The sequence below is a fragment of the Homo sapiens genome, chromosome 17 (genome assembly GCF_000001405.40).
Source record: "Homo sapiens chromosome 17, GRCh38.p14 Primary Assembly".
NCBI classification, from domain to species: Eukaryota; Metazoa; Chordata; class Mammalia; order Primates; family Hominidae; genus Homo; species Homo sapiens.
This window is the reverse complement of record NC_000017.11, coordinates 49,494,642-49,516,946: the sequence shown is the minus strand read 5'-3', so window position 1 is coordinate 49,516,946 and position 22,305 is coordinate 49,494,642. Positions and strand designations below refer to the sequence as shown.

Sequence of the window (22,305 nt, the reverse complement as noted above, 5' to 3'; positions counted from 1 at the left end):
CTGCAGCTGGAGCTAGTGCTTTCTAAAGTACAAGTCTGGGCTGGGTGTGGTGGCTCACACCTGTAATCCCAGCACTTTGGGAGGCCAAGGCAGGAGGATGGCTTGAGCCGAGAATTTCAAAAGCAGCCGGGGCAACATGGCGAAACCCCGTCTGTACAAAAAATACAAAATAATTAGCTGGGTGTGGTGGCGTGTGCCTGTTCTCCCAGCTACTCTGGAGGCTGAGGTGGGAGCATCACTTGAGCCTGGGAAGTTGAGGCTGCAGTGAGCTGAGATTACACCACTGCACTCCAGCCTGGGTGACAGAGCCAGACCTTGTCTCAAATTTTAAAAAATAAAAAATAATCAATAATAAAGTACAAGTCTGTCTATGGCACTCCTATACTTAAAACCCCCCAGTGGCTCCCCAGTGTTCCAAGAATGTAGTCCAGACCCCCTAGTGTGTCTCTTCACAAGCCCTCCCCGCTGAGGCCCCACTGATCACCTTCCTACTCACTCTCTGGGCTCTGGGCCCTAGAGCCTCCCCAGGCCACGTGTGCTCTGTGCTGGCGCCCTCCAGGGCCTTTGCTGAGCTGGTTCTTCTGCCAGAAGCACTCTCCCCCCGACCTGTCTAGTTAACTCCACTCATCCTTAAAGACTCAGCTTCCATATCCCTTCTCTGGCAAACCTTCCCTGACCCCTGGTGTGGGTGGGTCTTGCTTAGGATCCCCCCACTATTATAGCAGTACACACCATAGAGGGCCGGTCTGCTCTAGCTCCCTCAAGAATGTAAGGCTGGTGAAGGCAGGGATTTGAGTTCTCCTTATTTCACAGGACAGCATCTGGTTTTCCCCCACCAGACAAGAGTGGGGGGCAGAGTGGAGAGCCACTCTTAGGTCAAAGAGTATATTTCCCCATCAGCATGGGGGCACCCTTAGGATAGGAGGTGTGCCTCCTTCATCAGGTTAGAATATCCTCAATTCTGGGACTGTCTCCTTCATTAGATGGGAGCCTCGCTCAAGACAGAGATTGTCTTTCCCATCACACTGATTTTCCAAGTACCAGGATTATTTCTCTTACCTACTCTGAATCCCTCCCGCAACATCTTCCATCTTCCTTACACCCCTCACAGTCTGGGGGCGTAGGAGGGGAATGGAAGACAGAGAACCTCCCCTCCACCCTTGTCTGACTCTGGCTGGGCCTGGCTGGCCCTTCTCCCTGGATCTGGAGGTCAGGCAGGCTTGTTTGCTGTTTTTACTGGAAGAGCAAGCCTCCCTTTGTCTTCCTCAGTGACCACAAGCCAGTCTCCCCGGAGGACTTGGCCAAACAACCAGCAGGGGCTGAGGCTGAGCCTCAGAGACAGGCACAGGCCCAGGGCCAGGAGCCCTACAGCCCTGGGAGCTCCCAGGCCTGGGCCAGGCGGGGCTCGAAGCCAGGCTGTCAGGAGCCTGGGTTAGGACCTGCCCACGAGAGCTACAAGGGAGGGGCCTGCCTGCCTAACTCCAGGCCAGGCCTGCCGAATGCCTCCTGCTAGGCCATCTGGAGCCAGATTCTCTCTCTCTCTCTCTGTGGTGTGTATGTGTGTGTGTGTGTCTCCCAGGCCACGTGGGTGGCTGGGAGCTGTGGGGTTGTGACCTGGCCCTCCTGGCGAGCCTCTGACTTGCCTGTGGTCAGTTTCACTTCTGACATCTGGTCAAGTTCACAGCTGGCTAGCTTCCTGCGTGGCCATTTTCACTTTCCCTCTCCAAGATCTGGGAGCAAAGGGCCCCTTCTCCTTCCCCACCTCACCCCATAGTGATACATGGGAACTTACTGGATTTCTGTTAAAACTTCCCCTTTTGGTGTGGGGGAAAAGAGGGCAGGAATTGACCGAATTGGAAATTATACCTGGGTCCCTGCCACACACCCAATCCCAAACAATTCAAACCATGTGTATTTCCAGAAAATCTCTTTGTACTATTTTTCTTTCTTTGCTATTTAATGTTCATCACTTAACGTTTTGTGTGTAAGTTTCAGGAGGGCCCAAGAAATGATTACACAGGAGGCAAGGAGGGGAGGTGATAGGAGGGTTGCTGGGGGTCTGGAGCTCATGGCCCCCAGCTCGGGGGCCAAAAGGGTTCCATCTCAGCTCAAGGGGAGTAAAAAGGGGCCCCAGAACCAAACACATGCTAAAACATACTTGCAAGCCCCCAAACCCCCTCCCCACCTGCTGGGGAGGAAAATAAATACACCCAGACTCTGTCCCACTCCCCAGGTGCCCAGGTGAGGGGCCAGCAGGTGAGTTTCCTCCCCTCATCACAGGTTGAGGTCAAAGAATTGCCATTTACTACAGTGCTCCTAGTCCCTTCCACAGGGCTGGGGGAACCCTGGGCTGGGGAGCGGTGGTTGTCAGCGCACAGCCTGCCTGGGGCTTGTCATGCTAAATAGAGGGGAGCCACACTCACTCCAACTTCAGGCAAAACAGAACAGGCCAGGGAGGGGGTGGAAAGTCCACTGAGGCCTCATGGCCCCCTTCTGGCCAAGCTCAGGAAAAAACAGTCCTTTGCAGGGTTGTCTAGAGCTGGGAGAAATCCCCACAGGTCACAGTCGAAGTCAATTCCTTCTTGCCGCATTCCCACACTGGCCCACTTTTCTTCATCACAACCTTCTGGGCCCAGCCAACCCCATGTTTGCAGGGAAGGGGAGGATGGGGGAGCATTCCTCCACGTGTAAGCCCTTGAAGACAGACGCCAGCTCCAGCCTCGGTCGGCAGTCCTTGGCCCGCCAAACCCGGGGGCGAGTGAAGACGGCCGAGCAGACCTCAATTCCCTCCGATGCTTCTCTGGCAGCTGCCCCGGGCAGTATCCAGTCTCAGCCCAAGAGAAAAAACTCATGGAGAAAAGTGAGATTTCTCCTCCTGTGTGTGTGTGTGCGTGTGTCTGTGTGTTGCAAGGTGAGGGGTCCTTGGTCCCTGACCCCTAGGCTGATTCTAGGGGCCAGTGTTAGCTCCGGGTCCATGTCGGGATGGAGGGCAGCAGACTGGAGCCATGCCACTGATGTCACACAGGCATGCCTGAGAGGGACAGGCAGAGGGAAGCAGCACCCTTTCCACGAACCCCAAACCTGACTCCATCATGGACCAGGCCCTAGGCAAGCATCCCATCTCCACGGGTGGGCAGGCAGTGGGGAAGGGGTGGGGGTCTGGAGACAGCGTGGAAGGCAAAGCTGACTTGGCTTCAAGCCATTTCCCAGAAGGTCACCTGCCACCCTCCCCTCGCCCTCAGGCAAACCTGAGGCCCCTCATTTAGAGAAGGCGGTGCCAGCCTGCACTTGGCCTCCCCGTTGCTGTCTGGCTTTGGGCGAATCATGGCCTCTCCCTGGGCCTCACTGACCTATATCCAAAATGAGGGGGGTGGGCTGAGCTTCGAAAACCCCTCCCAGCTCTGACAAGCCTCCGATCCTCTTCATCTTAGGCTGGGGTGGGGGGCAAGAGGGGCTGAGGGAGGGTTGAGGCCACTGGGATGCCACCCTTGTTCCCCAAGTTCACAGTGTAGAGTCCATGGCTCTGGTTCCTCGATTCCTCCCTCTGAGTCTCTGGGGCCTTGTCACTTCCCCCTAGTACCATCCCTGGTGTTGGCCCCCCATATATGACACCTGCTGTGGTGGGAGGGGCTGGCCCACCTAGCAGTGTGGGAGAAGGGGGCAGGTGGCCTGAGATGGTGACGGGGCAGGGGCAGGGTTGGGGAGGCAGCAGGGGCACTTCTCTCTCTGGACAGGAAGTGTGGTCAGAAGTGAAGGGGCCACACGGGCTGCACTGACAGGGCTGTGGTTTTGGGGCCTGGACTCTGAGGTCCTGCCCAGAGGAGCTCAGTTCTGCCAGGCGGGCCCCCCCCAAAGGGTGGGGGTGCGGGCTCCACAGGGGTTGGCTGGAGCATCGGTTGTCGGAATGTGGGGCGGGGCGGGGGCTCCCCGGTTGGGCTCACACCGGGGATGTGGCAGTGGACTCACTGCACAGACTCTCCACGAGGTCGGCTCGCTGGATGCGGCGCAGGGCGGCCAGGAGGGCGTCCAGTGTGGCGCTGTCCTGGGTGGCCCAGCTTGCAAGCAGGGCGCGAACGGGGCAGGCCTCATGGGTAAAGGAGTCTATGTGCTCGGGCTGGTAGCCCAGCTCGCCCGCCAGGTGCCGCCAGGTGTCCCCCGCAGAGCCGTTGAGAAGCTTCTCCACCTCCTCCCGCTTGGCTGGGGGCAGGCTGCTGTAGAGGCCTCCGTCACCCTTGAGGGCTGCAGAGAAACCAGAGGAGAGTCAGGTCCTACCCCTGAACTCCTTTCCCCAACAGTGGGCACTGGGGTGAGACCCAAGAAGGGCCGAGGCAGTGCTCCTCCCCATCTGGAGGCCTGGGGCCAAGACAAGGTCCTGGGTGGGGCACCAGGAAGTGAAGGCACCTGGGGGGACTCGTTGTCCCTTCCTCCTGTCACTCCAGCCCAATCCCTATCCCCATCCCTCCTCTCTTCCCCCCCAGCAATTAATCATGGCAGAGGAGGAGATAGGGCTTCTCAGTTCTAGACAACTACAGCAAGTGTCCCGGAGCTGGGCTATGGGCCACTAATTAGGGTACACACTTAACTACTTGTTCCCCAGAAGTCCAGGGCAAGAGGCTAATTGCAGCTACTTTGGGCAATAATTAGCCCCCAGGGGGGACAATTAGCTTGATGAGTCTGGATGCTCCAACTTGTAAAAGCCTCCATTTCCCAAGTCGTTCCTCTAGAGAGGACCTCTCCCTCCCATTCCCCTCGGCCAGCCTCTCCATCCATCTACAGGGGCACCGCTGAGCCAGCCCTGCCGCCCCCCCGACAGTCCTTCCTGGAGTCTAATCTTAATTGCTTCTGTTTCCTCAGCCTCAGCTCCGCCTCAGCTCCCCAGCGGGCCGCTGCTCACCCTGGCCCGAGGCTGTCTGCGTGTGGGGCTGCTGGTCATGCAGGCTCTGGCTGTCCACGGAGATGCCACTGTCGCTGTGGAGTTTTTCTCCCTCTGGTGGGGGCGTCTGGTTCACTGGCCGGCTGTTGGCTCCTTGCTTGTTCTGCTTGCAGCTGTTCCACCTGGAGCCAGAGGACAGGCCAGGTTTCAGGGGGCGAGGGGCTGTAGTGGCCGATGCAGCTGAGTATCTGTGCTCTGCCGTGTGAGGGCCAGGGGCATGGCGGGTGCCCAATTATAACCGCCACCCCACCATCTAAGGCTCCTCTTTGCACATCTGCCCCCACCTACCCTGAAAGCTCCATGAGGGCAGAGGGGCCCTCTGTAAGTGTTCAGTAAATGTTCCTGGAATGAGCAGTGCAGCAAAAGTGACTGCTCAGGAACTCCTCTTCTCCCAATCTACCCTTCTAAAATACTCCCACATGTGGGCAGTGACATATAAAAGGATTTCCTCTGCAATTATAAGCAATAACAAAAAACTGGAAAAAAAAAAAAAACAAATGTCCATCAATGGGGACTGGCTAAATAAATTACCATCCATCCATACTATTGAATGAGTGGTTACAAATGATCAGCTAATCTACATTCCTGAGGAAAGGTCTCCTGAGGGAGACTGAGTGAAAAAAGTAAGCTGTAGAATATGTACAATGTGATCTCACTGATGCCTAAAAAGCCCTCCATGTTTACATGTAATTATAAAAGGTTTATATACATGTTTATAAAAAAAGACACACAGAAAATAGTTGGGAAGGATCCATTTCAAACAGATTCCAATAAGGAGAGAAGTAGGATTTGGGGAGATAAAAGGGGGCTTTTACTTTTTGCTTTGAAAGATATTGGTCTTGTTTGCATTTTCCTAAACACGGATGTGTTACTTTGATGATTTTTTTTTTTTTTTTTTAGAAAGAATGGAAAATGCATTTAAAGCTTTAAAATGCCTTCTGGGAGTTCGTGCACATCCTGGATTCCTGGATGTGGGTGCCACAGCATTCCCAGTGTGACAAGCGAAGGGGAAGAGACATATGCACACGCAGGTGACTGTGGGGTGAAGGAGGTTGGGGATGAGGACACAAGCAGTTGGGGGTGGGGAGTCAGGGAGTGGTGCGGCATGGGAGTGGGAGGGGCTGGAGCCAGGACAGGGCAGGAGAGGACAGGACAGGACAGGTGGATCCTCTCCCCTCACCTCCTGCTGACCTGCTGCACCCTGGAGTGGGGCGGCAGATGATGAGTGAGGATGAGCTTGGTTTGGGGTTGAGTTAAAAGGGTGTGTATGTTTTCAGGTCAAGGTCACAGCAAAGTCTTCCTTGAGGGCAAACATCTCCCCTCTCTGTCGCCACCGTGCCCTCTCTTACCTCTTGAAGGCTATGTAGGCCACAAGGCCCACAACCACAGCAGCCAGGATGGAGCAATAGACAGGGATGAGGTTGTCGGTGGTGCCTCGGGTCACCACGGGCTGGGAGCTGCCCATCACTGTGGTCACCACACCTGCCACCGTGCTGGCTATGAGGTCTTGTTCTGGAGGTGCCTCAGGCTCCTGGGTGCTGGGGGCTGTGCTGTCCGAGCCCTCTGGGGGTGTGGACCGTGTAATCCAACGGCCAGGGATCTCTGGGAGAAAAGGCCACAGGAGTGAGGACCCACTTCCCCCACTCCTCCCTTTTAGCTCTAACCCACTGCCGTGTTCTTCCTGTGTCCCCGCCCTGGCTCCAGGTGCTCTTGTGCCCAGCTGTTATGCACAGCTGGGATTGCGTGCATGATGTCATGATGCTAAAGAGCAAGGCCTGTGGGCCCACAGAGCTGCATCTCCTTCAGCTTCGCCACTGACTTGCTGGGTGACTCTGGCCCAGCCCCCTTTTCTCTCAGAACCTTGATTTCCTTATTTATCTAATGGGGCTATTAAGAGAGACAGTCTCTAAGCTCCCTTCCATCTGGGGCTATGGTCCTGGAATTCTATTCCACCTCCTGAGTACCTAGAGAGGCCTATCTAGGAGCAAACACACAAAGAAGCCTGACCACAGGGAGGCCTTGAGCTGGAGTCACTCTGGGAAATGTCTCTCTGGCCCCAGCTTGTCCTTGATGACCCTAGTCACTCCTGTCCTAAGGAAAGAAGAGGGTACACAGGTCTGGTCAGAGAGGTGCTTCCCCCACACCACCTCCCTGAGAGCACTCCCCGACTTTTTGACCTCATGTCTCAGGCTCTAGGCTTGGGTGGAAAGGAGGGGTGCGGGGGCAGCTGGATTGCCTCCCTCCAGCCAGCCCTTGGACAGTGGCCAGCCTCTGTTTCCTGTCTTGCCTGGCTCCCACCTAGCCTGATCCTGCCAACCAGAGATGACAGCATCAGGTAGCCCCAACCCTCCTTGGTCAGGAAGCAGAGAGCCAGTGGAGAAGGGGCCCATGAGGCAGGTCCAGCTCAATGCCTCAGCTGGCGGGGGGAGACTGTGACTTGCCACCCACCTAGACCCTCTCATGCTAGCTGGGCATTGCCAGCCTCCCTGGCAGGGGACCCAGCCCTTCCTGGCACCAGTGGGTGGGATTTTCCATTCTGCCACACAGCCAGGGGCAGTGCTAGGGGTTGTGGGCTCTGGACGGCCTGGGGATACTTGTCTGGGCAATGTTGCCTACCCCGTCCCTCCTCACTTCCCACGCCTGGGGCAGGGAGGGAAAGCAGGCAGGACATGCCAATGGGGTGAAGGGGAGGGTAACTGGCTCCCAGCTCTGCCCTCCCAGCCCCCACTTTGCCCACCCAAGCAGGAGTAGAAGCTGCCACCCATCTTCTGGCCTCTTCCACTCAAGATGAAATGCTTCAAAGGCCCGTTTTCAGCACCTTCTGAGGGGCAAAGCCCCCAGATGTGAATCTAGAATCCATCTGGCTGCCAGCAGTGAGGGGCTGCCATCTGTCACCCAAACCACCCTTCCCCGTCTCCGTCCTGGGAGGGGCCAGAGGTAGTGAAGGAGACAGAGCCCTGTCTTCTGGCAGCCCCAGGTGGAGCATTGGACTGGGGAGGGTCTTCTCTTGCTCTGCCAGGGGACTGGGCAAGCTGGGGGGCAGCCCAAGTCCAGAGGCTGGAGACACAGCTCAGCTCAGACTGACCCCAAGCCAGAGGGTGAAGGAGTGTACATGTCCGGGTGCCCAATGAATGAGACCATCACCGAGATCAGAGCATGGTAGGGGAAGGCTGGGAGGGTAGCAAGGCGTGGCCAGACCAGAGGCGGCACTGACTCTTGGGGAGCTGCCCTCATCTCTCCAATCCCCTCTGACGGGGGCGGGGGGATGAGATCCAGATGTGGCCACGTCCACTAGCATTCCAACCTACTAAGCCCTTGGCAGGTCCTGACAGCCATTTCCGGGCTGCATGGAGGGACCAGGTTATCCCTATTCAAACCGAATTTCACTGGGGCAGCGGGTAGCCCTTCTGCCCTGAGGGTGGGTGAGTCACCATGTTGACACCTGAAACGTAAGTAAATGCGGGGAAAGTATGGTACGCTGGAGGGGAGGGGGCAACAAAACCAAGAATCAAATTCCATTTCCTGAAATGGTCTCTTGTCCCAGAGCTGACATTTAACCCTTCAGAGCCTGAAGCTGAAAGGGGAACAGGGTCTGGTATGAACACTCCCTCAGGAGCACCCTCCTCCTTCGGGGTGGCTGGGAAAGTGGGCTGGTATCTGAGAGGAATCTGTGAATGCCCCAAAAGACAAAGCCTGCTCCTCCCACAGTCACCACCTTTCTTTGCTCTAGCAGCGCCCCCAAGTCCCCCCGCCCCGCCCCCAGCTGGCTGGTCTGGACTTGCCTACAGAAATGAGCTGCCTGCTTGCCTGATGCCTGGCTGCTGAAACCCTTCCTGCGCTCTGCCTGGCGCCTGATGCCACTTGCCTGTCTCCTGGCCCAGGGCAATTGCCAACAGAACCACCACATCCTACTCCTCATTCCTTCTCCAAGGCAGGAAGCTTTGAGCTCAACCTGGCCTTAGCCCAGCGTAACAGCCCTCCCCATCCTGAGCTCCTAAAGCCAGAGATGGCAGGACTTGGAAGGCAGGTGTGGGTTGGAGCCCCTATCAGACTGGAGGGTCCCCAGGGGCAGGAGATCTGGGTGCTAACTGAGGCAGAAGCTCTGCTGCCTCCATCAGAATGGGGGATCTCTAAAGTGAGAGCTATCTCTCCTTCAGCTGGGGACTAAGTGCTGGGACCACGTCTCTCTCATTAGACTGGGCGAAGGCTATCTCTCCCATCAAACTGGGGGCTCACTGAAGGAGGTACTATATTGCCTGCTCAGGGTAAAGGCAACCTGAGGATGCAGGTTAGTTCTCAAAGGGAAATAGCTCAATGTGTGCATGGCCACAGGATGATGGACAGGATGTAAAGGCACTGCCAGCCTCTCCCCGAAGTGGAAAAGCCCACCAGTCTCCCCTGAGACGGACGTCACCAACCAGAGACCAAAACAGCTCTGCCCTGGCTCCCACGGGGCTTCCTTCTCCCATCCCAAGAACCACCCCATCTCCTTGGGGCCTGTGCTTGGCTAAGGTGGGCACGCCCAGCTCCCATCCATCCCTGGAGCTGACAGCCACGAGCATGCACTGCCTTGTCCCCGGGCTTTTGAGCCCCAGGTCTGCCCCTCCCCTCCTTCTTCTTCCACAGAGCCCCTCCTTAGTGTTCCCTGCATGCCCCTCATCCTTCACTAAACTGCGGAACACGGTTGACCCCTCCCCTAGACAGGGCAAGCTGAAGTGGGCCAGCCCCACTGTATTCCCTAACCCGCAACAACCCTGGCAGCCATATGACCAGTGAGGAAACCGAGGCCCAGAGACAGGAGTGGACTCCCTAACGTCAGTCAAGGACAGGGTGGGTTCCATCTCAGGTCCCAGAGCCAAAACCCACCATGGACCTAGACCAGGGCTCAGAGTCAAAGGGTCCCAGCTCCTGAGGGTCCTCAAGCTGCTCTTCCAGTTCAGAAAGCCTGCCTCATGGATCAGACCTCTCCCGTTCTGTGCCCTGGGGGTAGTGGCCACCTTCGAGCTGCTTGCTGTTCAGCTAATCACTAGCGGGAAGCCACAGAGAAATGCGTCCCGGAGGATGAGTTACAATGTAGTACCCGCGGCCTGGGACGCTGAGAACGCCCACTTTCCAAACAGCCCAAAGAAGGTAACACAGAGAGGGGTTCTTTGCTGAGACAGGATGGGGAATGACCTCCTCCCTTAGGTTACCAGGAAAGGACTGAAGCTCAGGGAAGGTGCACGCTGCCTCAAGGTCACCAAGCTGCCCCAGCAGGCCAGGCAGGGTCCTTGTCGACCTCCAGAGAGCGCCCTTCCTTATGCCCCCAGCCCACCCCCGCACCCCCACTCCCCCCGCCCCCCGAACCGCACTCACCCTCGCACTCGGCGTCGGCCCAGCGTGTGCACTCGCGGAGCTGGCGCTCGGTGTCCTCGCACACGGTGCAGGGCAGGCACGGGTCCACGTGGTTGGCCTCGTCGGAATACGTGCCGTCGGGGCACTCCTCGCACACGGTGTTCTGCTTGTCCTGGCAGGAGAACACGAGGCCCGAGCCCGCCTCGCACACGCGGCACGCCTCGCAGCGCCCAGTCGTCTCATCCTGGTAGTAGCCGTAGGCGCAGCGGCACACGGCGTCGTCGGCCTCCACGCACGGCGCCGACATGCTCTGGAGCCCCACGCACTCGGTGCACGGCTTGCACGGCTCGGTCGCGCTCACCACGTCGGAGAACGTCACGCCTGAGCGCAGCGGACACCAGATTTAGTCGTCTGCTCTTTTGGGCACCCGGGACGCAGGAGCTGGAGTCTCTCCCTCCCCTATTGCCTGCCAGGACGCTGACTTCCTCCTTCAGCCTTCTCATCGGCTCCCACCCTCTTCCAAGGGACCCTGACCCCTAGCCTGTGAAAGTTGGTGGCAGCCAACTGGGAAAGGGGGAGGAGGCCCGGAGCCGCATCCTCCAGGCTCCAGAAGCACTGGCCGGCCGGGAGGCTTTCCGGCATAACCCAGCTGGTGCCGCTAAGTTTCTTGGCAAATTCTCTTTGAGAGTTCCCAGGCCTGTACTATGTTCCCAGCATGATTAAGGAATAATCTGAACGTGGTTCCCACCCAGCCCTCCCCGCGGGCCAGAGCTGGGCTGCTAACCCGGTCCAGGCAAGGTAGGCCTTCCCCTAGGGAGCCTCCTGCCTCATCTGCCTTCAGTTCCTCTCCACACAGGTGTGGGCTCAGATGCAGCCTAAATGGGAGTGACCGGGGTTAGACAGCAGAATTTCCCACCCATGGCACTACCCCCATGCTGCTGAAGGGCTTGGATCCTGAGGGTGGGGACGGACCTGCAGGCAAGAGGGCTCAGGTAAGGCAGGAGCCACTGAAGCTAGAGAGCTGGCTCTTAGCCCACACTCACTCTCTCAGATGGATATTGTTGAGCAGTACACAAGCTGCACAACTATATGATCACCCTTTTGAGATCTGCACATGCGTCGTCTGCCCTTTCGGCCAGGATGCAAGGGAGATGTCCAAGCTCATTCTTCACTCATGTTTTCTTAATTACTGGATGTGCACTCCAGAATAAGGAGAAGGAGGCTGGGCACGCCAGGGTCCTTGCCTCCTTGTACAGGGAGGGGAAGGAACAGGGCCAGATCTTCTTCACCCCTTCCAGCTTTGGGTGGGGAACTCTGTGCCACCCTGGATCTGGCAGGACCTATCCTTGCTCCAAGGACAGGAAGAGCATAGATTTAGGAACCTGAGAACCAGGGAAGGACAGATTGTTCAGAATGTGGAAGCAGAAGCAGAAAGGCTAAAGCGCCATTAGGGGGAAACTGAGGCCTGTAGGGGGGTCTCAACATTATTCAAAGGCATCAGAGACAAGATGGAGCAAGGGGTCACTGGCTTCGGGGGTGTGGTGGGGGGATGAGGAGGCAAAGAAGGAAAAGCCAGAGAGAAGTGAAAGGGGCAGAACTGGGGACAAAGGCTGGGCGTGGTGGCTCACTCCTGTAATCCCAGCACTTTGGGAGGCCAAGGCGAGCAGATCACTTGAGGCCAGGAGTTCAAGACCAGCCTGGCCAACATGGCAAAACCCCATCTCTATAAAAAATACAAAAATTAGCTGGGTGTAGTGGTGCACGTCTGTAATCCCAGCTACTCGGGAAGCTGAGGTGGGAGGATTGCTTGAGCATGGGAGGCAGAGGTTACAGTGAGCCAAGACTGCACCAGTGCACTCCAGCCTGGGTGACAGAGTGAGACGCTGTCAAAAAAAAAAAAAAAAAAAAAAGAAAGAAAGAAAGAAAAAGGGTAGAGGAGAGAAGAAAAGACCCAGGAAGAAGGGCCTGGAGGGAGACTTCAGTTTCAAGTGAATTCTGACAGAGGAACCCTGTGTCCCTTTTCCTAGGAGCAGGCAGATCTGGATTCAAAATCCATTTCCATCGCTTATAAGCTGTGTGACTTTGGGTGTTTTACTTAACCTCTCTGAGCTTTTTCTTTCTCTGTAAAAATAAGGAGCAATATCTGCAGTCACAGGGTTGTAGTGAGGAATAAATGAAATTCAGCCATAAAGCTTTGGCACGTAGTTGGGATCCTATAAAGATTGGGCCCCATGGGGGTGGAGAGCGATGAGGACATTGAACTTTGGAGGTAGGAATATGGTCAGACAGCAGAAAGAACGTCCAAACACAAACAGCAAAGGCAGGATGTCTGAGCTATACAAACAAGAGGGTCCTGGCTGGCTGGCGTGTGATGGAGGGTAAGTCTAGTCACACAGGAGGGGAAGAGGAGAAGCCTGCTCATGGCAAAACACAGAAAATTAGCAGAAAACTCCTGGGAGAGGGTTTTAGGTGGTGTGAAAAATGTGGTCTTTTTTGGCAGAGAATGAAGGCAGGGGCTTAATAGGTTTCCTTGTGGAAACGTTTTAAGGGTAGAGGGAAAGTCCGCTGGGGTCTCCGTCCCATAAAGTGGGCTTGTAAAGGCAGCCTGTTAATGCAGCTGGAGGTGGAGGAGGGGGAGACAGGGAAGGAGGGGAAAATGGAGGGGAGGGAGGAAGTGGAAGGGAGGATTCTCAAAGCCACCTCTCTGCCTGCCTCCCTTCCCTTCCAGAGATTCTGGAACTTCCCTCTCCTGGTGTCCTCCGCCCCACCTCCTGCTGAAGGTCCTTTGACTGAAGGGAAAGGGTTCCCATCATTTAGGTCCTGGGAGGAGAGTCCTGGGCTGGAGTCTAGGAAGCAAGAGAGGCAGATTTGGAGGTTCTGGGATAGCTGATGGTTGGCCACCCCCGCCCTGGAATGGAAACCCTGTTAGGCCAGGGCCAGAGCAGGTGGCCATGAAGCAAGACGGCAAAGGCATTGGAGGATGTCCCACCTCCACACATACGCCCAGGCATTTCTTGGCTGGGGAATGGTGTTACAGGATCCACAAGCACAGAGATGGGAAAACAGTGTGTCTGGGGAACACCAAGAGTTGGGGTTGCCTGGAGGACAGATAGACTCAGGGGGGACATCCAGAGGTAACACTAGGTCCGCAGGTGGGTTCAGAGGCCCCAGCTCTATCCCCTTATTCCCAGCCGGATTAAAGAATAATCTGAGTATGGTTCCCTCGAGCCCTCCAGGTGGGCATCGAGTGCCAGGTAGAAGGCAGGGAGTCAGGAAAAGGGCAGGGAGCCCACGGCCCAAAGGCAGCAACTGAGGACTGGGGGCACCGATCAGGGACCGAGACTCCTGACTCAAAAGCATGAGGGAATTCAGACCCTGGACAAGACTGGGGCCAAGGGGCCCAGACCCACCAGCCCAGGAAGATGAGATTCTCTCCCCTCCTGAAAGAAATCCCAGGCAGGGTCGAGCACGGTGGCTCACGCCTCTAATCCCAACACTTTGGGAGGCTAAGGCAGGTGGATCACTTGAGGCCAGAAGTTTGAGACCAGCCTGGTCCACATGGTAAAACCCCATCTCTACTACAAATACAAGAATTAGCCAGGCATGGTGGCATGCATGCACCCGTAGTCCCAGCTACTCAGGAGGCTGAGGCATGAGAATCACTTGAAACCAGGAGGTGGAGGTTGCAGTGAGTTGAGATCATGCCATTGCACTCCCAACCTGGGCAACAGAGCAAAACTCTGTTGAAGGAAGGAAGGAAGGAAGGAAAGGAAAGAAAGGAAAGAAAGGTAAAGAAAGAGAGAGAGAGAAAGGAAGGAAGGAAGGAAGGAAGGAAGGAAGGAAGGAAGGAAGGAAGGAAGGAAGAAATCCCAGGCAGGAATGGGCACAGCTCCCCGTCTCCCCTCCCCTCTGTCACCCCACAGTAAGGACGTCTTCATGGCGCTCTGACCCCCATCCCTGCTGCCTCGGGAAAACTCTGCTTCCTGGTCAAAGCTGGAGAAGAGTTGGCCTGTAGGGAGGAACAGCCACACCCCCAGGATCCCCCAAGGTCAGCCTTCAGGGCAGCCAGGATTTGATCCTCCTCTCCCTTCCCCCAAACACACCGGGGATAAGTGGCAGCCATTGATTTTGCAGTGCAGATGATATTTTTAGCTGGTCTTAGCATCAGCTACTCCTCCCTGCCCAGCCACACTCTTCTACCAAGCCTCTGCCTTCTCCAGAGCTGGGAATGGGCACCCCTTGGAGATCCCCCATGGGGTTCCCCTCCTCCCTCTGCACACTTCCCTTCTCCATTCTCAGCTTCTCGAATCTGGGAGAAGCGCCTCCTACACTGGGTCAGACCCACTTCTGATGACCTTACAGTGGTGGTCTTATAAGGCCTCTACTGGGCATGCTTCTCCCCAGCGCCCCTCCCTTTCACCCCTCTCCTCCCTCCCATTCTTCTCCCCTCCTCCTGCCCGCCACCCTCTACTCACTGTCCAGGCAGGGCTCACACACGGTCTGGTTGGCTCCACAAGGCTGGGCCACACCCTCGCCCAGGTTGCAGGCTTTGCAGCACTCACCGCTGTGTGTGTACAGGCCTGTGGGGCATGCCTCCTTGGCACCTCCAAGGGACACCTGGATGGAGGGAGATCGGAGGGTCAGACTGGCAAGAGAAAGCTGGGGTGGGTTGGGGGGGGTTCTTCCGGGGAATCAAACACCCTCCTCCCACTGCCTTCTATTAGAACCACCTGGGCTGGGATGAGCTCACCAGGGAGGCGTTAGGAACATCAAAGCTGACAGGGGAAAGGCAAGTGAGGGACAGTGTGCCCGTGCAGGCTGCTGGGGGTGTGAGGTCAGAGCTTCAGCTGCTGACCTTCTGCAAAGTTCATCCTGGGGTTACAGCAACTCCTGGAATCCCAAGGATATACCACATGGGGAAGGTGGCCAGAGGCCCAGCGGAGGGCCTACCAACAGGGATGTCATGAATGGTTGGACAGGTTGTAGCTTGCACAGGGCTCCCAGCCAACGGGGCAAGTAGAGCTGAAACCTATCCCAAACTCCATTTGCTAAGCTTTGCACCTGCTGGGTTGTATCTACCCAGAGGAGGGCCTTTTTCTAACAAAGGCCAGCAGGGCCTTACTCCAGGTCCTTAATTCCACATATTAAATAATAAATGGAAGATGTCCATGCCCAAGAGCAGAAAGGAGAGGGCCAGGGTCTTGGGTTTGAATCCTGACTCTACACTGGGGGTCTTGCTTGCCCATCTTCCCTCTGAGTCTTCATTTCTCTACAGAGATGGCAACAGCCTGGTGCCAGGGCAAAAGGCCAGCCATTTGGCAAAAGCCTCGCACCAAGATGGAGAGAAAGGGAGAACTGTTATCAATGATGGGACAGTGGCTGCTCTCACCACCCAGCAGCCCTGCCCTGCCACGGTTTGATTTCCAGCCACCAGTCCTCCCCCTCCCCCATGTGGCCACTGGGAACAGGGCTGGAACCAAGGGAAAGGGGAGTCAGGTTCCTGCCACTGAAGCATCTTTGCTCGTGGATGTAACAATTTAACACCAGATTCCCCAGGGGAAGGGGCTGGTGGAGGCTTGCTTTATATTTCTGTTCCTTTAAAAAAAACTTAATGTCTAATAAAACTCCAAAGCCTGCTTTGCTAGCTCCAGACCATGCAGCCCTCATTTGATGCTGAGAAGTATGGGCTTTGGGGTCGTGGGACCAGAGGGAAGCTTTACAAGCTTGTTTTGGGCATTCTGCTTCTTCTACATTGGCCAGATCATGGCCAAGACACTCCTTTCCCTCCAGCCTTTTAAAATATCCTGCGGCCTCATCAGGGTTTGGTGGGGAAGGAAACAGAGGAGTCAGGGGGATAGACAGGTTGGATCAACCCAGGAGGGAGTCTGTGGTCCTCATGAGACCAGCAGGACAGGCACAGGCAACAGAGGAGGTGGAACCTTGGTGTTGCCGCACCTCCTCCAGGGCAGCAACACACTCAGTGCTGGGAACATCTGCAGACCAGGAGCCTCAGGGTCCCAGATGCAGGCTTTCCCTCAAGAGGCAAGATTCCAGAAGGGCCTGTTCTGATTTCTTTTCATCCTTTAGGGCTCTGCTTAAATGTCACTTCCTCAAGGAAGTGGTCCTGTTGCACCCACCGCTCACAGATTAGGTGGGGCTGCCATGTTACGCATCCAGCCTGTTCTCCGGTTCTCTCTGCTTTTGTCTGGCCTGAACTTTATAGACTCCCTCATTGGACTGTCAGCTCCCTGAGGGAGCTGGATTGCCCCAGGGCCTGATGCGGTATCTGGCATGCAGTAGGGACACAATGCATACACGCGTGGAGTTGAAATACATGAAAATACTGTATGACCTCAATTAACCAGAACTCTGGGAGAGCGACTGTTGGTTAGCCGAGATTCCAGACTGCCAGGCTTTGCTGCCCTCATCATTTTTGCTTTTCACCATGGTGGCTGCACCCTTCCCTGTCTCTGGAGCAAAGCTTCATGGCTTCCCATGACTCAGGGACTCTGTATTTACACCAGCGATTACTCTGGGCTGCAATACAGGGAAACTCTTTTGTTCTTTTCCCAAATTACCACACTTTTGTCTTTTTGAGTTCTCCTGTCAGCCTTTTTTTTTTTTTTAATATAGCTTTTCTGTTTCCTCCCTTCCTGTCAAGGTATCAGTTGTCACTTCTTGCTGCTACCAGAGTGTGACCTGAAGCAACCCTTCCCCCACCACGCTAATCTATTTAAGGTCTAATTGAATCTTCAGAAACTGTGGAACTCGCCTTGGTAGAAAGGCATGTGCCGGCCGGGCGTGGTGGCTTACGCCTGTAATCCCAGCACTTTGGGAGGCCGAGGCAGGCAGATCACGAGGTCAGGAGATCGAGACCATCCTGCCTAACATGGTGAAACCCCATCTCTACTAAAAATACAAAATATTAGCCAGGCGTGGTGGCGGGCGCCTGTAGTCTCAGCTACTCAGGAGGCTGAGGCAGGAGAATCGCTTGAACCCAGGAGGCAGAGGTTGCAGTGAGTCGAGATCGTGCCACTGCACTCCAGCCTGGGTGGCAGAGTGACAGTCCGTCTCAAAATAAATAAATAAATAAATAAAATAAAAATAATAAAAAATATAAAGGTATGTAAATAGGATCTGAACCAGGAGGAGGCAAGCCTCTGAATACAATCTGTGAGCTCTCACGCCACTCTGAATCCTGGCTCCACACTTGTCCTGGGTCATAATTAGGTAATGATGACAGTACCTGCATCATAGGATTGCTGTAAGTATTACACAAGTAAATAAGGTATTTATGTACTTTGGGACCCCTCTTTTCTGTCCTCCAGGGTCTACTTTGTGGCCATTGGCTGTGTTCCAGTTTGTTGGGCTCTGGACAGCTGAGGAGATCTGTCTACAGTGGTCTTGGGTGGTGTGGGGGCTTTGTGCAAATGCCCCTGCCAAGAAACCTGTTCTCCCTGCTGCAGCCTGAGGTCCTCTCTCTTCTCTTAAAAACTGCATTTGGAGTAGGGGCCAGATAATTAGTAACCATGCATTTCCTGTCCTTGTTTTATGTTCCCTATGTTGTAAAATCCTAGATCTGCTTCTTAATAGTATGTTGCTTAGGGTAAATTACTTAATTTCCCTAAACCTCAGTTTTTCTCACCTAAAACATTGGGTTGATAATGTCTATTGCCCAGGATTGCTGGGAGAATTAAGTGAAATAATTTATGCAAATATGTCTGGTCTACAGTAGGAATTTAATAAATGTTAGTTATCAAAGAAGCATCTCATCTTAAGGAGACCCCAGGCAGGAGGGGAGAGTTTAGCCAAGTAGGGAGGGGTGACTAACATTCAGGCTAATTGCTCCAAAATCAGATCCAAAAGGATTAATTTATAGGGATGACAGATAAATTTCCCTGAAATTTGTATGTGTTACACTTAGTCATTTCACATTTGACAGAATGATTTCATCTCATTTTTAAGAACGCTTGTAATCTTTTTGTTTTGGCCATTTCAAGGCTTACAAGGAACTAAGGTGGAAGGATCCTTAGATGAATTGACTTTTAAGAATTTTCATTTTTTTTAATTAGAGAAAAGAGAGAAACAGCGAAACAGTTGAAAGTATTTGAAACCATACGAATGTTTCAGTATAATCAGCCCTGGCCATTCCAACAGCTTCAGCAAAGAGCTCTTAAGTGAATGGGGCCGTGGTCACCGCCATGGGATGGGAGAGATTTTCAAACACCTGGAGGGCCTTTTGAGGTCGATGCAAACCCAGGGGAGGCACTGGCACATACCCCTCACTCCCTTTGGATAGGGGAGGAGTTGGGAGGAAAGGAGCTAATTACCCAAGATAATGTAGCATAGAGACTTGAGAGGGGGCAGGGCCTCTGCGTGTGGAGAAGGGGCTCAGATCTAAATGTGTGGGGCCAAAGGCATAGGGCACGATTTAATCTCTCAGAGCCACGACTCCTTCCATGATCTAGAAGGTAGGGGGCGGGAGGGAGCCTGGCATATGTAGGAAAGAGAACATCCCAGGCCAAGCATCCTGGGTTCCAACAAAGACGCCACCACTGACTCACTGGGGGAGCCTGGTCTCGGGCCTGAAAGTCTAGAAGGTTCTGTTTCCTCAACTGCGAAGTGGGAATAACTAAATTCACCTTGCTAGGACCTTATAAGGATTAAATAATTCAAGAGAAACTACCAGGGAAGTGCAAGGCACTTAGTAGGAACTCAGCACATGCGATTATTCCCGCCTCCCCACGCGGTCCCCCAGGGAAGAAGCGAGGCGCTTGAGCCAGACTGGGCTGGAACAGTGCGGTAGGGGCCCGTCCCCCGCGGAGCTGCCTCCCCATCCACCATCCACCCAGCTCAGCCCGGCCGCTCACGCACGCCCATTTGCTGCCCTCGTTCCATCCCTATTAGGCGCATTAGCCAGCCCGGCGGCTCTGGTTACAGACGTCTGAATGACAAAGTGCCTCCATTACCGGCGCGGCCCGCCAGCCGACCCGCCGGGACGCGCTCTGGTTTCAGCCCTCTCTCTCTCACCGCGGCCCAGGAAGAAACTCGGACCGCGCACAGCCATCCCAGACCGAGCAGCCGCGCGCCGAGGCGGAGGCGGGAGCCGCAGGGGCTGCAGACGGCAGGTTCCTGTCGGGGTACACCTTCCCAAGCGCCCAGGTCCTCCACGCCCAGCTCCCCTCCTTCCTTGGGTCTTCGCGCGGGGACCCTCGCTCTTGCCCAGACCCGGAGCCCAAGTCGTTGCCCCTCTGGGATCCGGTCCCTCCTCCCCGCTCTCCTGGTCTACGCTCGCCCACCCGCGTCTGAGCAGCGTCTCTAACCAGCGGCGTTAGTCAGCAGACGTGCCCGCGGTCGCTCCCAAATCCCCGGACGCAGCCACAGGTCCTGACAGCTCCAGGGAACTGGGGCTGAGCTTTCGGGCTGGGGCCCGCACCCGGACAGAATCTCTGCCCACCTCACCCGCAGGCTCTACCGCCGACGGACTCTGGGGACAGTGTCAACCCCCCCCGCCCTGCTGGGAAACGCAGCCGTGACCCCGAGCTGGGACAGCGGCTGCCCCCTGAAAAGGTGGGGGAGTACCGAGCTGGGAATCAGGTCGGGGAGTCTAGCCACGACTCTGGCCCAACTTGCTGTGAGATCTTGGCCAAGTCGTTTAAACTCTCAGAGCCTCAGTCTCCGTATCTGTAAAGCCGGAATTTGGGGCGCAGTGCTCTGATGAAAGATGCTGGCGGGGAGAGTGAAGACGCCTCCTCCGTTGCCAGACCTTCCAGGGCATTCGGTTCATGGCCATAAAGCAGGCCACATCTGACAATCTCGTCGGACCACCCGGAGGACCCGCCGACCTTTGCCGAGTCGGTGGCCCGGGATACCGCGCTACAGAATCCGAGGCGTCCGGGCGCCCCCGTCTCGTTAGGTGCCCAGCGGCTTGCACCGAGAGCCAGGAGAGGCTCAGACCGGATCCCGACCCTTCGAGGCGCGGGAGCCCACGGAGCGCGGTGGGCGCGGCGCTCGGGTCGCGCAGCTAGGTGGGGAGCGGCGCGCAGCCCCAGACTCGCAGGCAGGCAGCGGCGGACTGCACTTGCCTCGCCCCGCAGCGCCCCCTGCCTGCCGCCTCCCGCCTGCGTAGCCAGAGCTGCGCGCGGCCAGGAAGGGTCCCCGCCTAGTGCGCCCCGGCGCTCTGCACCCCGAGACGTAGCCACCGCCAGCCCGGGTAGGGGCACACCCGCTCCGTCCCTCGCGATCCGCTGCGCTGCTTCAAGCCGTGAGAACACGCGCGTCGGAGGAGCCCGCCGGCCGTGGGGGAACCCCGGGAGCGGGTTCGCCCCGGCGAAGTGGGCACTCCCCTCCCAGCCTTAGATCCGCAGCCCCAATTCCGGGACTGGGAGAGGCCGCGAGCAGGAGCGCGGGGACAGGCGCTGGAAATGTCCAAGCCTCTGCTCTCTCTTCTCGTCTCACTGTCCCTCAGCGGGCAGGCGGGACCCCGACCACTTCAGGGTCCGCGCCCCGCTCTGTCTCCTTTCCTTCTGCTTCCATCTCTCTGCCGCCCTCGCCGTCGCCCCTCTTCTGCCCTCCCTAACCCACTTCTCAACCTCTCTCCCGCTCCCCAACCTCTCCCTCCGACGCCCCTCCCCCCCATTGTCTGGCCGGTCCCCATTGTCCTTGCCGGGTCCCCTCTGCCTCCAGTCCCTCCGACCTCCTCCATTGTTCCATCCCGTCGTCCCGGGCTCCCCGCCCCAGCCCAGCTCGCCCCTCTCATCTCTAGTCCCCGTCCAGTTCCCCCTCCTTCTCTCGCCTTGGTTCTGTCCCACGACTCTCCAGAGACCGAGATGCTGAGGGGAAAGTCCCTTCGGGATCCCGGCATTCGAGTGTCCTCTTCCGAAGAACCTGGGCATCGGAGAGCCCCATGCCCCCTCTTGAAAGACCCCTCCCAGCTCCCCCACCGCCCCCTGCGGTACCTGAGGACCGGCATCCGTGCTCCGGTCTTGCCCTCATCTCCACCCTGGAGAGTCGCCTCTGCGCTCCGGGAACCCTAGACCCTCCTTCGTGGTCCCGGCATCAGAGGTCCTTTCCCACCACCCACCCTCAGTATCTGGGACCCCAATGCTCTGTTCTGTTTCCTTGGTGGCGGCGCCCGGCTCTTCTCGGAGTTCTGATCCCGGGAAAGGGAGCGGGCCCCCTCCGGCTAACACTCACCCCCAGAAGCAGCAACAGCAGCAGGCGCGGCCCGTCCATGGCGCGGCCGGTGGCACCTGCCCCCATCGCCCGCCTCCCGCGGCAGCGCTCGACTTCCAGCTCGGTCCGCTTTGCGGACTGATGGGGCTGCGCTGCGCTGCGCTCCAGCGCCCCCCCTGCCCGCCGGAGCTGGCCGCGGCTCGGCTCGCTCTGGCTGCGGGCGGGAGAGGCTGGGTGAAGCCAGTGCTGCGGCCCCGCCTCCGCCCCGCCCAGCCCGCCCACCCCCGGAACCGCGCCCGCCCGCCCTGCCGCCTCGGGGTGGGAAGCAGAGGCAAAGGGAGGGCGTGCGGTTCCCCGCACCCCGCTGCGCTTCTCCCTGCCTTGTCCCTTAGAGCCTCTCACCCATCCCGCCCTGGTACCCAGTTCCCGGCCCGCGCTACTGCGCGTCCGTCCCGGATGCTGTGGGCCCGGGGACCAGGGCGTCCCCACTGCGGTTCCTGTTCCTCTCCGGCTGCGGCCCGCCACAGGGTTCACTCTCTTACCCATCTTCCTCCGCCTCTGGCTTCACCTTCTCCCTGGAGCCTTGCTCCCTAACTGCCCCCTATCAGTAAGAATGCCCGCTTGCCCTCCCTGCCCTTCATCTCAGTCCATCACCCCACCTCCACCCCATCCCCACCCCTCCCCTTCCCAGTGCAGGAGATCCCTGGGCAGAGGCCTAGGGGGAGGGGAGGGGCGCAGGCGCCCTTACCTCGGCCATCGACATTCAAGGTGGAGTCCATTCCGACATCATTTGATTCTCAAATGAGGGGTTTGAAGGGGTCACAGGTGTGCACACAGTGCACAGGAATACACACTCTCAAGCT

The 22,305-nt window shown here is 56.8% G+C and overlaps 1 protein-coding gene, 1 long non-coding RNA gene and 1 other non-coding gene across 3 annotated transcripts in view, besides 12 other annotated features; 1 reads left to right on the top strand and 2 right to left on the bottom strand.

Annotated features, from left to right (window-relative positions):
* The window catches only part of NGFR-AS1 (NGFR antisense RNA 1), a 68,408-nt gene extending 57,118 nt beyond the window's left edge, over positions 1-11,290 (top strand). The window contains exons 2-3 of the long non-coding RNA NR_103773.1: positions 5,834-5,964; positions 10,447-11,290. This is a non-coding gene — a long non-coding RNA (NGFR antisense RNA 1). The remainder of the gene's footprint in view (positions 1-5,833; positions 5,965-10,446) is intronic.
* Positions 1,093-1,868: an enhancer, noted in NCBI's record as "H3K27ac-H3K4me1 hESC enhancer chr17:47592441-47593216 (GRCh37/hg19 assembly coordinates)". NCBI's record gives its function as "activates a minimal SCP1, AML or CMV promoter by ChIP-STARR-seq in primed H9 embryonic stem cells {active_cell/tissue: H9 hESC(primed)}" and the evidence as "EXISTENCE:reporter gene assay evidence [ECO:0000049][PMID:30033119]".
* Positions 1,286-1,580: an enhancer, noted in NCBI's record as "tiled region #8308; HepG2 Activating DNase unmatched - State 1:Tss, and K562 Activating non-DNase unmatched - State 5:Enh". NCBI's record gives its function as "activates a minimal TATA promoter and a strong SV40 promoter by Sharpr-MPRA in HepG2 and K562 cells {active_cell/tissue: HepG2 | K562}" and the evidence as "EXISTENCE:reporter gene assay evidence [ECO:0000049][PMID:27701403]".
* Positions 1,686-1,745: an enhancer, noted in NCBI's record as "active region_12364". NCBI's record gives its function as "activates an Ori minimal core promoter by ATAC-STARR-seq in GM12878 lymphoblastoid cells {active_cell/tissue: GM12878}" and the evidence as "EXISTENCE:reporter gene assay evidence [ECO:0000049][PMID:35858748]".
* Positions 1,776-1,825: an enhancer, noted in NCBI's record as "active region_12363". NCBI's record gives its function as "activates an Ori minimal core promoter by ATAC-STARR-seq in GM12878 lymphoblastoid cells {active_cell/tissue: GM12878}" and the evidence as "EXISTENCE:reporter gene assay evidence [ECO:0000049][PMID:35858748]".
* Positions 1,869-2,643: an enhancer, noted in NCBI's record as "H3K27ac-H3K4me1 hESC enhancer chr17:47591666-47592440 (GRCh37/hg19 assembly coordinates)". NCBI's record gives its function as "activates a minimal SCP1, AML or CMV promoter by ChIP-STARR-seq in primed H9 embryonic stem cells {active_cell/tissue: H9 hESC(primed)}" and the evidence as "EXISTENCE:reporter gene assay evidence [ECO:0000049][PMID:30033119]".
* On the bottom strand, positions 1,939-21,654 carry NGFR (nerve growth factor receptor). The gene is made up of 6 exons (NM_002507.4): positions 21,464-21,654; positions 14,743-14,884; positions 10,289-10,648; positions 6,283-6,535; positions 4,895-5,055; positions 1,939-4,239 (listed from the first exon to the last, which is right to left on the bottom strand). Exons 1-6 carry the CDS (start codon positions 21,527-21,529, stop codon positions 3,938-3,940), a joined length of 1,284 nt encoding a protein of 427 aa, NP_002498.1. The 5' UTR covers positions 21,530-21,654; the 3' UTR covers positions 1,939-3,937.
* Positions 2,644-3,419: an enhancer, noted in NCBI's record as "H3K4me1 hESC enhancer chr17:47590890-47591665 (GRCh37/hg19 assembly coordinates)". NCBI's record gives its function as "activates a minimal SCP1, AML or CMV promoter by ChIP-STARR-seq in naive H9 embryonic stem cells {active_cell/tissue: H9 hESC(naive)}" and the evidence as "EXISTENCE:reporter gene assay evidence [ECO:0000049][PMID:30033119]".
* Positions 4,485-5,452: an enhancer, noted in NCBI's record as "NANOG-H3K4me1 hESC enhancer chr17:47588857-47589824 (GRCh37/hg19 assembly coordinates)". NCBI's record gives its function as "activates a minimal SCP1, AML or CMV promoter by ChIP-STARR-seq in naive H9 embryonic stem cells {active_cell/tissue: H9 hESC(naive)}" and the evidence as "EXISTENCE:reporter gene assay evidence [ECO:0000049][PMID:30033119]".
* Positions 5,908-6,558: an enhancer, noted in NCBI's record as "H3K4me1 hESC enhancer chr17:47587751-47588401 (GRCh37/hg19 assembly coordinates)". NCBI's record gives its function as "activates a minimal SCP1, AML or CMV promoter by ChIP-STARR-seq in naive H9 embryonic stem cells {active_cell/tissue: H9 hESC(naive)}" and the evidence as "EXISTENCE:reporter gene assay evidence [ECO:0000049][PMID:30033119]".
* Positions 6,047-6,130, bottom strand: MIR6165 (microRNA 6165). Its single transcript, NR_106751.1, has one exon. It is a non-coding gene; the product is annotated as a microRNA 6165 (primary transcript).
* Positions 6,559-7,209: an enhancer, noted in NCBI's record as "H3K27ac-H3K4me1 hESC enhancer chr17:47587100-47587750 (GRCh37/hg19 assembly coordinates)". NCBI's record gives its function as "activates a minimal SCP1, AML or CMV promoter by ChIP-STARR-seq in naive H9 embryonic stem cells {active_cell/tissue: H9 hESC(naive)}" and the evidence as "EXISTENCE:reporter gene assay evidence [ECO:0000049][PMID:30033119]".
* Positions 7,861-8,512: an enhancer, noted in NCBI's record as "H3K27ac-H3K4me1 hESC enhancer chr17:47585797-47586448 (GRCh37/hg19 assembly coordinates)". NCBI's record gives its function as "activates a minimal SCP1, AML or CMV promoter by ChIP-STARR-seq in naive and primed H9 embryonic stem cells {active_cell/tissue: H9 hESC(naive and primed)}" and the evidence as "EXISTENCE:reporter gene assay evidence [ECO:0000049][PMID:30033119]".
* Positions 20,278-20,477: a silencer, noted in NCBI's record as "silent region_8670". NCBI's record gives its function as "represses an Ori minimal core promoter by ATAC-STARR-seq in GM12878 lymphoblastoid cells {active_cell/tissue: GM12878}" and the evidence as "EXISTENCE:reporter gene assay evidence [ECO:0000049][PMID:35858748]".
* Positions 21,432-21,801: a silencer, noted in NCBI's record as "silent region_8669". NCBI's record gives its function as "represses an Ori minimal core promoter by ATAC-STARR-seq in GM12878 lymphoblastoid cells {active_cell/tissue: GM12878}" and the evidence as "EXISTENCE:reporter gene assay evidence [ECO:0000049][PMID:35858748]".

Bases quoted from the DNA above. Each gene is read 5' to 3' on its own strand.
- NGFR (NM_002507.4), bottom strand. From the start codon at position 21,529: ATGGGGGCAGGTGCCACCGGCCGCGCCATGGACGGGCCGCGCCTGCTG. The intron at 14,885-21,463 runs GTGAGTGTTAGC...CCCTCCATCCAG, and splicing joins TGCTGTTGCTGCTTCTGGGG to GTGTCCCTTGGAGGTGCCAA. The intron at 10,649-14,742 runs GTGAGTAGAGGG...CGCTGCGCTCAG, and splicing joins GTGTGAGCCCTGCCTGGACA to GCGTGACGTTCTCCGACGTG.